This window comes from Homo sapiens, chromosome 10 (genome assembly GCF_000001405.40).
Source record: "Homo sapiens chromosome 10, GRCh38.p14 Primary Assembly".
Taxonomy (NCBI): domain Eukaryota; kingdom Metazoa; phylum Chordata; class Mammalia; order Primates; family Hominidae; genus Homo; species Homo sapiens.
Genome location: NC_000010.11, coordinates 124,767,382 through 124,780,620, shown reverse-complemented (window position 1 = coordinate 124,780,620; position 13,239 = coordinate 124,767,382). Strand labels below are relative to the sequence as shown.

At 42.7% G+C, this 13,239-nt stretch overlaps 1 protein-coding gene across 4 annotated transcripts in view; it reads left to right on the top strand.

Annotated features, from left to right (window-relative positions):
• The window catches only part of EEF1AKMT2 (EEF1A lysine methyltransferase 2), a 35,635-nt gene that overhangs the window by 11,267 nt on the left and 11,129 nt on the right, over positions 1-13,239 (top strand). For all 4 annotated transcript variants that reach the window (NM_001416243.1, NM_212554.4, NM_001304468.2 and 1 more), the window contains exon 4: positions 5,839-5,946. In NM_001416243.1, coding sequence (NP_001403172.1) covers positions 5,839-5,946 — 108 coding nt within the window. The remainder of the gene's footprint in view (positions 1-5,838; positions 5,947-13,239) is intronic.

Genomic DNA, 13,239 nt, shown 5'->3' with positions numbered 1-13,239 from the left:
TCTGTTGCTCCACAGGTCCCCGTGAACTCCACAGGTTCAATTTTTTAAAAGTCATTTTTGTCTTTGTCGGCCAAATGTTATATTTCAATTGATCTGTCTTCAGATTCACTGACTTTTTCTCTGTCACCTTCATTTTGCTGTTAAGTCCACACATTGCAATTGGCTGACATGTCTTAATTTTTTACTGCATGATTTCTTTATTTACCATTACGATTTATTTTTTGTAGGAGGTAGTTCATTTGTCTGAATGGTTTTTCACAATGTGAATTTTCTAATTACATCTCTATAGTATTTAACATGTTTTCTGTCCCTCGTGTTGTCTGTACGTTGGAAATTAGACCTAAATTAAGGGTCAGCAAACCACAGTCTACGGGTCAAATCTGGACCTCCTTTGTTTTTATAAATATTTGTTGGAATACAGCCACATTTATTCATTTGCATATTGTCTATGGCAGCTTAAGTGTTGCATTGGTAGAGTTGACTGGTTGTAACAGAGACTGTATGGCTGGCAAAGCCTAAAATATTTATTCTGTTTCTTTTTGTTTTTTGAGACAGAGTCTTGCTCTGTCGCCCAGGCTGGAGTGCTGGAGTGCAGTGGCGTGTGATCTTGGCTCACTGTAAGCTCTGCCTCCTGGGTTCACACCATTCTTTTGCCTCAGCCTCCCGAGTAGCTGGGACTACATGTGCCCGCCACCACGCCTGGCTAATTTTTTGTATTTTTTAGTAGAGACGGGGTTTCACTCTGTTAGCCAGGATGGTCTCGATCTCCTGACCTCAGGATCCACCCACCTTGGCCTCCAAGAGTGCTGGGATTACAGGCGTGAGCCACCACGCCTGACTATTCTGTTTCTTTTTTTTTTTTTTTTTTTTTTTGAGATGGAGTCTCGCTCTGTCGCCCAGGCTGGAGTGCAGTGGTGCAGTCTTGGCTCACTGCAAGCTCCACCTCCCAGGTTCACACCATTCTCCTGCCTCAGCCTCCTGAGTAGCTGGGACTACTGGCACCCGCCACCACGTCCGGCTAATTTTTTGTATTTTTTTAGTAGAGACGGGGTTTCACTGTGTTAGCCAGGATGGTCTCGATCTCCTGACCTCGTGATCCACCCGCCTCGGCCTCCCAAAGTGCTGGGATTACAGGCGTGAGCCACTGCGCCCAGCCACTATTCTGTTTCTTTATAGAAAATGGTTGCTGGCTGGGCATGGTGGCTCACACCTATAATCCCAGCACTTTGGGAGGCCAAGGTGGAAGGTTTGTTTGAGCTCAAGAGTTTGAGACCAGCCTGGGCAACATGGTGAAACCCCGTGTCTACTAAAGACACAGAAAAATAGCCAGGTGTCGTGGTGTGTCCTTGTAATTCCAGTTACTCAGGAGGCTGAGGTGGGAGAATCGCTTGAGCCTGGGGAGGTTGAGGCTGCAGTGAGCTGTGATCACGCTGTTGCATTCCAGTCTGGGTGACAGAAGGAAACCCTGTTTCCATAAAAAAAAGAAAAAGATTGCTGACCCTGGATTGAGAGATTTTTATTAGATTTTTTTTTTTGGCAAGTAAACTTATTAGGTGTTGGTGTATATTTGCATATGTGGCGTAGAATATTTGGTGTAGAACATTCATCTTTTTGTTATATTAACAGCCATTGAAGACCATTTCTTATACGTACTACTTTTTCATTGATCAGCTACATTTTTGATGGTTACTTTTCCTACATTTTTGATGGATGTTTTTGCTATATCATTTTAGGTTACTATTTTTCTTTTACTATCTTCTGGCTTCCATTCTTTATCACTTATTGTTAGCTATAAGCCTTATCATCATCCTTTTAAAGGTAATCTGTCGCCTTGTATCCCACATCCCTACTCCCTGGATGTTTTTGAGATTTTTCTGTTTTTCTTTTTTTTTTTTTTTGGTACGGAGTCTCACGCCGTCACCCAGGCTGGAGTGCCATGTGCCATCTCTGCTCACTGCAACCTCTGCTTCCGGGGTTCAAGTGATTCTCTTGCCTCAGTCTCCCGAGTAGCTGGGATTACAGGCATGTGCCACCACACCTGGCTAATTTTTGTATTTTTAGTAGAGACGGGGTTTCACCATATTGGCCAGGCTGGTCTCGAACTCCTGACCTTAGGTGATCCGCCTGCCTTGGCCTCCCAAAGTGCTGGTATTACAGGCATAAGCCACCATGCTGAGCTGATTTTTCTGTTTTTGTTTTTCATCAGATACACTATGATGTGTCTAGGTGGAGTTTGCTTTCATCTGCCTTGAATTTATACTGTTTCTTGAATCTGAGGCTTGGGTCCTTTGTCACTATTGGAGTATTCTTAGCCATATGCCATTTTTTCTTCTGCCCTATTCTCATTTCCTTTCCTCTCAGATTCCACATATGGATTGGGTATACATATATGTTTGTGTGTATGTATGTGTGTGTGTGTGTGTATGTATAGACTGTGTGTTAAAATTGTCTATACATACACACTATAACCTCCAACTCCGGAGCTCACTATAACCTCCAACTCCTGGGTTCAAGCGATTCTCCTGCCTCAGCCTCCCAAGTAGCTGGGATTACAGGCACCCGCCACCACGCCTGGCTAATTTTGTGTGTTTAGTAGAGATGGGGTTTCACCATGTTGGCCACGCTGGTCTCGAACCCCTGTGGATATAGAGGGTTGTGTGTGTGTGTATGTATATATAGTCATACACTACATAACAATGTTTCAGTTGAAATGTACCACATATACAATGGTGGTCCTATAAGATTATAATACTGTATTTTTACCCTTTCTATGTACAGATATCTTTAGGGCTGGGCACAGTGGCTCATGCCTGTAATCCCAGCACTTTGGGAGGCCAAGGCAGGTGGATAACTTGAGCTCAGGAGTTCAAGACCAGCTTGGGCAGCCTGGCGAAACCCTGTCTCTACAAAAAAAAACAAAAAACAAAAAAACAAAAATTAACCAGGCATGGTGGTGGCATGAGCCTATCCAGCTACTTGAGAGGCTGGGGTGGGAGGATTGATTGAGCCAGGAGGCAAGGCTGCAGTAAGCCATGATTGTGCTACTGCACTCCAGCCTGACTTACAAGAGTGAGACCCTGTCTCAAAAAAAAAAAAAAAATCTTTAGGTACACAGATACCATCGTGCTACAGTTGCCTCCAGTATTCGGTACAGTAAAATGCTGTACAGGTGTGTAGCCTAGGAGTAATAAGCCATACCATGTAGCCTAAGTGTGCAGTGGGCTCTACCATTTAGGTTTTTGTAAGTACACTCCATGGTGACACATGACTGTGTGTGTGTATGTGTTACATCTTATATTCTGTGCTATATTCTGTCTTTTTTTCTTTTTTTTTTTTTTTTTGAGTCAGAGTTTTGCTCTTGTAGCCCAGGCTGGAGTGCAATGGCGCGATCTTGGCTCACTATAACCTCCACCTCCTGGGTTCAAGCAATTCTCCTGCCTCATCTTCCTGAGTAGCTGGAATTTCAGGTGCCCACCACCATGCCTAGCTAATTTTTGTATTTTTAGTAAAGAGGGGTTTCACCGTGTTGGCCAGGCTGGTCTCAAACTCCTGACCTCAGGTGATCCACCTGCCTTGGCCTCCCAAAATGATAGGATTACAAGCTTGAGCCACCATGCCCGGCCCATATTATGTCTTTGATATTCTTTCCTGTTTTTAATTTTCCATTCTTTTGTCATTCTGTGTATAACAGGGATATTTTCTTCTGACTGTTCTTTGCTGATTTTTTTTTTATTTTTTGCTGTGTGTAGTCTGCTATCAAGCCCACCCTTGAACTTCCTAATTACTGTATTTTTCAATTATGTTATTTTTTATTTTATTTTTTTTGAGACAAGAGTCTTGTTCTGTTGCCCAGGCTGGAGTGCAGTGGCATGATCTCGGCTCACTGCAAACTCCACCTCCCGGGTTCAAGCAATTCTCCTGCCTCAGCCTCCCGAGTAGCTGGGATTACAGGCACTCACCACCACAAAATTAGCCTGGCTAATTTTTGTGTTTTTAGTAGAGATGGGGTTTCACCGTGTTGGCCAGGCTGGTCTTGAACTCCTGACCTCAGGTGGTCTGCCTGCCTCCGCCTCCCAGAGTGCTAGGATTATAGGCGTGAGCCACCGTGTCTGGCCCTGTTTGTTTCTCTGTTGTGGTTTTCAGTTCTCTGCTAGAATTCTCCCACTTGTCATTGTCATTTCTGTCAGTTGTTTTGAAATCTTTTTCTGAAAATTCATTTATTTGGGTCTCCTGTCGGGTCTGTTTCTAAAGTCAATTTCTCCCCTTGGGTTTGGTTGTTTCCTTGAATGTCTGCTCATTTTTGGGTGCCAGAAATTGAATGTGAAAGACATTGGAGATAGTTTGAGGCCCTGAGTGATATCTCTAGAAACCTAAAACATCTATTTGTGATTTTTATAAGTTGTACTAGAAGAATAAACAGGCATGGGAAAAGAAGGAACCGGTAGGCCGAGGTGGGCGGATCACGAGGTCAGGAGATCAAGACCATCCTGGCTAACACGGTGAAACCCCATCTCTACTAAAAATACAAAAACAAAATTAGCTGGGCGTGGTGGCGGGCGCCTGTAGTCCCAGCTACTTGGGAGGCTGAGGTGGGAGAATGGTGTGAACCCGGGAGGCAGAGCTTTCAGTGAGCCGAGATCGTGCCACTGCATTGCAGCCTGGGCGACAGAGCGAGACTCTGTCTCAAAAAAAAAAAAAGAAGGAACCGGTAAGAATCAGTTAATAGACTCATCCTGGGTTCTAGGTCTCCCAGAGAAGCAGTTAAGGGAAATGGGGAGAAAATCTCAAGGAATAAGGAGGGATACAGCTAAAAGGGTGGAAGGTTGGCATCAAAAAAGAGAATATTAGACCTTTAGATTAAAAACAAAAATAAAGGGAGCAATCTACCTGTAGAAAGTAATTGGTATACTTGTTCCTTGAGTTTAGATTAGGAATCAGTTACTTAGGGTTAAAAAGACTTGGTAGGTCTTCATGGATTTGATGTGGCAGTAGGTTAAGTTTTAAAGGAAGTAACCATTTAGTAAATGGTGAAGAGCAGGAAGGGAATTTCAGGCTATACTGTACTTTGTAACTTACTTTGTTTTTCATGTTTCCTTTGAAATTATTTTTAGTCTCATTGGTCTAAAAATGTTTAGTGTTGTTAGGGGGTGTGTAAAGACCAGAAGCTTCCATGCTTTTGCCATAGACACTACACAGCCTAGATGGGTTAATGGCTAGCAAACACCAAAACTCTCAAGTCCATTGAGTTAAAGAAACTTCTTGGGGATACTGATACCTGCCCACCCTACCTCACAGGTTTTCTGTAAAGATCTAATGGGATGTATGAAATATTTTTAAAGACGTAAAAGTAGTATACAAATGTAGAATGGTTAAAAATCACATGGCTGGTGGAGAATTGCATAATGTATAATTACACTGAAGGGAAAATTTAAAAATTGATAGCTTATTACATTTGCATTGATTTTGTTAATATAATTTAATTGGGTTAAGTAAAATATATGACAAATTTATGTGTGAATTGGAAATTATCAGCATCAAAAGTTAATGTTACCTTTTTTTGCCTGAGGGCTTATACATATATTTTCATTATTTTTGAGAACATGAATTTCCTTTTGAAAAAGAGATAAAATATTATGAAAACAAAGGTATTGTCATAGTATATACACTTTCAGTTTTTATTTAGAGTCTACAATAAAATTTAAGCATTATGAATTGGATTATATGTCATTTTCTCTACATCAAAAATAAGACATCACCAGTCCTAAAGGAATATTATAATTCATAAACAAAACATTATATTAAAATTTTATACTAAAGTATAAAATTATTTCTCTCTAGGCAAAATTTGGTTTCTCTAATATTACTGGAATTGATTACTCTCCTTCTGCAATTCAGCTTTCTGGAAGTATTATAGAAAAAGAAGGTTTATCTAACATTAAGTTAAAGGTAACTATTATTTATATTACTATAATATTTACAATAGAGGTTAAATGTTTCTAGAGCATATTAATTGACAGGTTTTAAACTCATAAATTAGGGATCAATCATAAATAATACAAATTGAAACATTTTTAAATAGCCATATTAAAAATTTAATCTAGTTGGTTTGGGGAAATTATTTTTTCTTCTGTATGTTTGTTCATACACTACTGCTCCTGATGTTTGCAAATACACATAATACTTAACTATGGATTAACCAGATCAAAAGGGTTTTTTTTTTTTTTTTTTTTTTTTTTTTTTTTTTTTGAGACTGAGTCTCGCTCAGTTGCCCAGGCTGGAGGGCTGGAGTGCGGTGGCGCCATCTCGGCTTACTGCAAGCTCCGCCTCCTGGGTTCATGCCATTCTCCTCTCTCAGCCTCTGAAGTAGCTGGGACTACAGGCGCCTGCAGCCACGCCCAGCTAATTTTTTGTATTTTTAGTAGAGATGGGGTTTCACCGTGTTAGCCAGGACGGTCTCGATCTCCTGATCTCGTGATCTGCCCGCTTCGGCCTCCCAGAGTGCTGGGATTACAGGCGTGAGCCACCGCGCCCTGCCCACATCAAAAGGTTTTAAATGCATCAAGTGGTATAATGTCACCAAAAATCATTTAGTTTATTTTTGTGTCCTATGATCTGTGAGATGATGATTCCTAAATTTACATTTCTAGCCCAGGCCTCTCTTCTCAGCTCTAGAGTTATAGACAGGCATGCCCTGTTTTTTTGGCTTCCCAAATGGTATGTTTTTTGACAAATCAAAGGTTTGTGGCAAGCCTGTTGAGCCCCATCTGTTGACACCATTTTTTCAACAGCATGTTCTCACTTTGTATCTGTGTGTCACATTTTGGTAATTGTTGTAATATTTCAGAGCTTTTCATTATTATTTTATCTGTTATGGTGATTCATGATCATTGATCTTTGATATTACTATTGTAATTGTTTTGGCGTGCCATGAACTGTGCCCACGTAAGATGGTGAGCTTAATTGATAAATGTATGTTCTGTCTGCTCTACCTACTGGCTGGTCTCCTATCTTCCTCCCTCCTCCTCAAGCCTCCTTCTTTCTTGGGACACAGCAATATTGAAATTAGGCCAATTAAAAACCTTACAGTGGGACAGGCGCAGTGGCTAATGCCTGTAATCCCAACACTTTAGGAGGCTGAGGTGGGCAGATCACTTTGAGGTCAGGAGTTTGGGACTAGCCTGGCCAGCATGGTGAAACCATATCTCCACCAAAAGTACAAAAAATAGCCAGGTGTGGTGGCGGGCACCTGTAGTCCCAACTACACTCCAGCCTGGACAACAGAGGGAGACTGTTTTAAAAAAAAACAGAGGCAGGAGGATTGCCTGAACCTGGAAGGTGGAGGTTGCAGTGAGCTAAGATTGTGCCACTGCACTCCAGCCTGGGTGACGGGGAGACTGCGTCTCAAAAAACAAAAATAAAAAAACAAGGATAAAAAATAAACAACCCCCACCTCAACACAGTGGCCTGTAAGTGTTCAGTTGAAAGGTAGAGTCACACATCTCTCACTCTAAATCAAAAGCTAGAAATGATTAAGCTTAGTGAGGAAGGCATGTTGAAAACCGCGATAGGCCAAAAGCTAGGCCTCTTGTGACAAAATTTAGTCAAGTTGTGAATGCAAAACAAAATTTCTTTAAGGAAATTAAAAGTGGTATTCCAGTGAACACATGAATGATGAGAAAGTCAAACAGCCTTATTGCTGTTACGGAGAAAGTTTTAGTGCTCCAGATAGAAGATCAAACCAGCCATAGCATTCTCTCAAGCCACAGCCTAATCCAGAGCAAGGCCTTGACTCTTTTCAATTCTGTGAAGGCTGAGAGAGGTGAAGAAGCTGCAGAAGAAAAGTTTGAAGCTAGCAGTAGTTAGTTCATGAGATTTAAGAACAGAAGCCATCTTGGCTGGACACAGTGGCTCACGCCTGTAATCCTAGCACTTTGGGAGGCCAAGGTGGGAGGATCACCTGAGGCCAGGAGTTTAAGACCAGCCTGGCCGACATGCTGAAACTGTCTCTACTAAAAATACAGAAAGTTAGCTGGGCATGGTGGTGGGTGTCTGTAATCCCAGCTACTTGGGAGGCTGAGGTAGGAGAACCGCTTGAACCTGGGAAGCAGAGGTTGCAGTGAGCCAAGATCGCGCAACTGCACTCCAGCCTGGGCAACAGAGCGAGACTCCATCTCAAAAAAAAAAAAAAAAAAAAAAAAAAGAAAAAGAAAAGAAGCCATCTCCATGACATAAAAGTGCAAGATAAAGCACTAAGTACTGATGTAGAAGGTAGAAGGTGTAGCAAGTTAGCTAGGAAATAACCAGTGAAGCTGGCTAAACAACACACAGATTTCCAATGGAGATGAAATAGCCTTATATTGGAAGAAGATGCCATGTAGGAGTTACATAGCTAGAGAGGAGAAGTCAGTGCCTGGCTTTAAATCTTCAGAGGAGAGGCTGACATTATTGTTAGAGGGGGCTAATGCAGCTGATGACTTTAAGTTGAAGCCAATGCCCATTTCCCATTCCGAAAATCTGAGGGCCCGTAAGAATTATGCTAGATCTTCTTTGCATGAGCTCTATAAATGGAACAACAAAGCCTGGATAACGGCACATCTGTTTACAGTATGGTTTACTGAGTATTTTAAGCCCATTTTTGAGACCTACTGCCCCAAAAGAAAAAGACTCAAAGTATTACTGTTCATTGACAATGCATGAATTCACCCAAGAGCTCTGATGGAGATATATAAGAAGATTAATCTTGTTTTTTTTTGAGACGGAGTCTTGTTCTATCACCCAGGCTGGAGTGTAGTGACTCGATCTCAGCTCACTGCAAGCTCTGCCTCCCAGGTTCATGCCATTCTCCTGCCTCAGCCTCCCAAGTAGCTGGGACTACAGGTGCCTGCCACCACACCTGGCTAATTTTTTGTATTTTTAGTAGAGATGGGGTTTCACCGTGTTAGCCAGGGTGGTCTGGATCTCCTGACCTGGTGATCCGCCTGCCTTGGCCTCCCAAAGTGCTGGGATTACAGGCGTGAGCCACCATGCCCAGCCGATTAATCTTGTTTTTATGCCTGTTAACACAGGATCTGTTCTGTAGCCCGTGATGGATCAAGGAGTAATTTCGACTTTACAGTCTTAAATGTGTTATTTAAGAAATGCATTTCATAAGGCTATGGATGTCATAGATAGTGATTCGTCTGATGCATCTGGGCAAAGTAGATTGAAAACCTTCTGGAAATGGGCTGGGCGCGGTGGCTCACGCCTGTAATCCTAGCATCTTGGGAGGCCAAGGTGGGCGGATCACAAGGTCAGGAGATCAAGACCATCCTGGCTAACATGGTGAAACCCCATCTCTACTAAAAATACAAAGAATTAGCCAGGTGTGGTGGCAGGTGCCTGTAGTCTCAGCTACTTGGGAGGCTGAGGCAGGAGAATGGCGTGAACCTGGGAGGCGGAGCTTGCAGTGAGCTGAGATCTAGCCGCTGCACTCCAGCCTGGGCGACAGAGCAAGACTCTGTCTCAAAAAAAAAAAAGAAAAAAGAAAACCTTCTGGAAATGATTCACCATTCTGCCTGTCGTGAAGAACATTTATAATTCATGGGAGGTCAGAATATCAACATTAACAGGAGTTTGGAAGAAGCTGATTCCAACCTTAATGGATGACTTGGAGAGAGGTTCAAGATTTCAATGGAGGAATTAACTGCAAATACAGTGGTAGTAGCAAACTAGAATTAGAAGTGGAGCCAGAAGGTGTAACTGAGTTGCTACAGTCTCTTGATAAAACTTGATCAGATAAGGAGTTGCTTCTTATGGTGGACGACCAGAGAAAGTGGTTTCTTGAGATGGAATCTACTGTGAACATTGTTGAAAAAGGATTTTGAATATTCCATAAACTTAGTTGATAAAGCAGTAGCAAGGTTTGAGAGCATTGCCTCCAATATCGAAGGATGTTCTGCTGTGTGTAAAATGCTATCAAACAATATCATGTACTCCAGAGAAATTTTTCATAAAAGGAAGAATCAGTCGATACGGCAAACTTTATTACTGTCTTATTTTAGGAAATTTTCACAGCTACCCCAGCCTTCAGCAACCAATACCTTGATCAGTCAGCAGGCATCCTTATTGAGGCAAGGCCCTCCAGCCAGAGAAAAGATTATGACTTACTCATGATTTCGATGATGGCTTGTTAGTGTTTTTTTAACAATAAAGTATTTTTTGTGGGGGATGGAGTCTTGCTCTGTCACCCAGGCTGAAGTGCAGTGGTGTGATCTTGGCTCACTTGCAACTTCCGCCTCCTGGGTTCAAGTGATTGTCCTGCCTCAGCCTCCCGAGTAGCTGGGACTACAGGCACCCGCCACCACACCCAGCTAATTTTTGTATTTTTAGTAGAGATGGGGTTTCACCATATTGGCCAGGCTGGTCTTGAACTCCTGACCTTGTGATCCACCCGCCTCGGCCCCTCAAAGTGCTGGGATAACAGGTGTGAGCTACCACGCCCGGCCATTTTTGTATTTTTTTAGTAGAGACGAGATTTCATCATGTTGACCAGGGTGGTATCAAACTCTTGATCTCAGATGATCCCTCCACCTTGGCCTCCCAAAGTGTTGGGATTACAGGCATGAGCCACCACTCCTGGCCTACAATAAAGTATTTTTTAAGGCACCCAATTTTTTTTTTTTTTTTTTTTTTTTTGAGATGGAGTTTCGCTCTTGTTGCCCTGGCTGGAATGCAATGGTGTGATCTCGGCTCACCACAACCTCTGCCTCCCGGTTTCAAGCGATTCTCCTGCCTCAGCCTCCGAGTAGCTGGGATTATAGGCATGTGCCACCATGCCCGGCTAATTTTTGTATTTTTAGTAGCGATGGGGTTTCACTATGTTGGTCAGGCTGGTCTTGAACTCCTGACCTCAGGTGATCCACCCACCTTGGCCTCCCAAAGTGCTGGGATTACAGGTGCGAGCCACCATGCCTGGCAAGGCACCCATTTTTTAAAAAGACATAATGCTATTGCACACTTAATAGACTGTAATACAGTGTAAACATAACTTCTATATGCACTGGGAAACCAAAAATTTTGTGTGACTTGCTTCATTGTGGTGTTTGCTTTGTTGTGTTGGTCTGGAACAGAACTTGCAATATCTCTGAGGGATGCTTGTAAAATCTGCCTGTTCAAAACTTCCATTTGGAAAGCTAATAGTCTCTCAACTTAATTAGTCCAAAATGAAACTCTTGGTTTCCTCCTCAGACCTGATTTCCCCAGTCTTTCCCGTTTCTACTAATAACACTCCCATTTACCCTGTTGCATTTACACAAAACCCAAGGAGTCATCCTTGATTCTTCTTTTTCCTTAAAGTCCTATATCCAATTCTGTTCGTTTTATTTATACACACATATATATATATATATTTTTTTTTTTTTTTTGGAGACAGTGTCTTGCCCTGTAGCCCAGGCTGGAGTGCGGTGGTGTTATTACAGCTCATTGCAGCCTCAATCTCCTGGGCTCAAGTGATTCTTCCACCAAAGCCTCCAGAGTAGCTGGGACTACAGGCCTGCTTCACCACACCTAATTTTTTTGTAGAGATGGGGTTTTGTCATGTTGCCCAGGCTAGTCTTGAATTCCTGGCCTCAAACAATCTGCCTGCCTCTGCTTTCCAAAGTGCTAGGATTACAGGTATGAGCCACTGCTTCTGGCCAGTTTTATCTTCAAAATATATCAAGAATGTGATCATTTCTTGTTATCTCAATTGCTCCCTGTGAAGTCCGAACCACCATTATTTCTTGTTTAAACTACTACAGTAGCCTTTGATTTTGCCCCTCCATTTCCACTCATGCTGCTCTGATGTTCTTTTACCACAGGGCAGCCAGAGTGATTTTTTCTTTGTTATTTTTTGAGACGGAGGCTTTTTCTGTTGCCCAGGCTGGAGTGCAGTGGCACCATCCTGGCTCACTGCAACCTCGGCCTCCTGAGTTCAAGCAATTCTCATTCCTCAGCCTCCCAAGTAGCTGGGACTACAGGCATGCACCACCACACCCAGCTAATTTTCTTCGTATTTTTTTAGTAGAGATGGGATTTCAGCACGTCGCTCAGGCTGGCCTTGAACTCACGACCTAAGGTGATCTGCCTGCCTCGGCCTCCCAAAGTGTTGAGATTACAGGTGTGAGTCACTGCGCCCGGCCTAATTTTTGTATTTTTAGTGGAGACCGGGTTTCAACATGTTGGTCAGGCTGGTCTCAAACTCCTGACCTCAAGAGATCCACCTACCTTGGCCTCCCAGAGTGCTGGGATTATGGGCATGAGCCACTGTGTTCAGCCCTGGCCAGATTTTTAAAAATGTCTGTTCATGTCGCTTCCTTGCTCACAATCCTGAACTGACTTCCCCATTGCATTGTAAATAGATTCTGAACCTCATCCAGCCTTACAAAGTCCCTCATTTCTTACCTTCTTCCTCGTTTATCATCAATACTCGGTCACATTGGCTTTTCTTCTGTTCCTGAAACATGTCAAGCTTGTTTTGAGTCTGTATACTTGCTGCCCTCTGCCTAGAGTATTCTTGCCCCAGATCTTAGCATGTTTGGTTCATTCTCATAATTCAGATCTTTGCTCAAATAACACCTTAGAGAAAACTTTATTTATTTATTTGTTTTTATTTTTTGAGATGGAGTTTCACTCTTGTTGCCCAGGCTGGAGTGCAATGGCGTGATCTCGGCTCACCGCAACCTCCGTTTCCTGGGTTCAAACGATTCTCCTGCCTCAGCCTCCCGATTAGCTGGGATTACTGGCATGCGCCACCACGCCCAGCTAATTTTTGTATTTTTAGTAGAGGCGGGGTTTGTCCATGTTGGTCAGGCTGGTCTCGAACTCCTGACCTCAGGTGATCTACCCGTCTCGGCCTCCCAAAGTGTTGGGATTATAGGTGTGAGCCACTATGCCTGGCCAAGAAAAGTTTCTACTCTTTTCCAAACTGTTTCTCTTCCAAGTCACTTAATGTCTTATTTCTCTGGCTTTATTTTCTTCATGGCACTTTATCTGAAGTTACTTATTTAGCTTATTTATCTTTTATCTTTCTCTTTGTAGAATATAAGGTATATTTTCTTTCTTTTCTTTTCTTTTCTTTTTTTTTTTTTTTTGAGGCAGTGTCTCGCCCTGTCGCCTAGACAGTAGTGCAGTGGTGCGATCTCTGCTCACTGCAACCTCTGCTTCCCAGTTCAAGCAATTCTCCTGCCTCAGCCTCCCAAGTAGCTGGGACTACAGGCACAT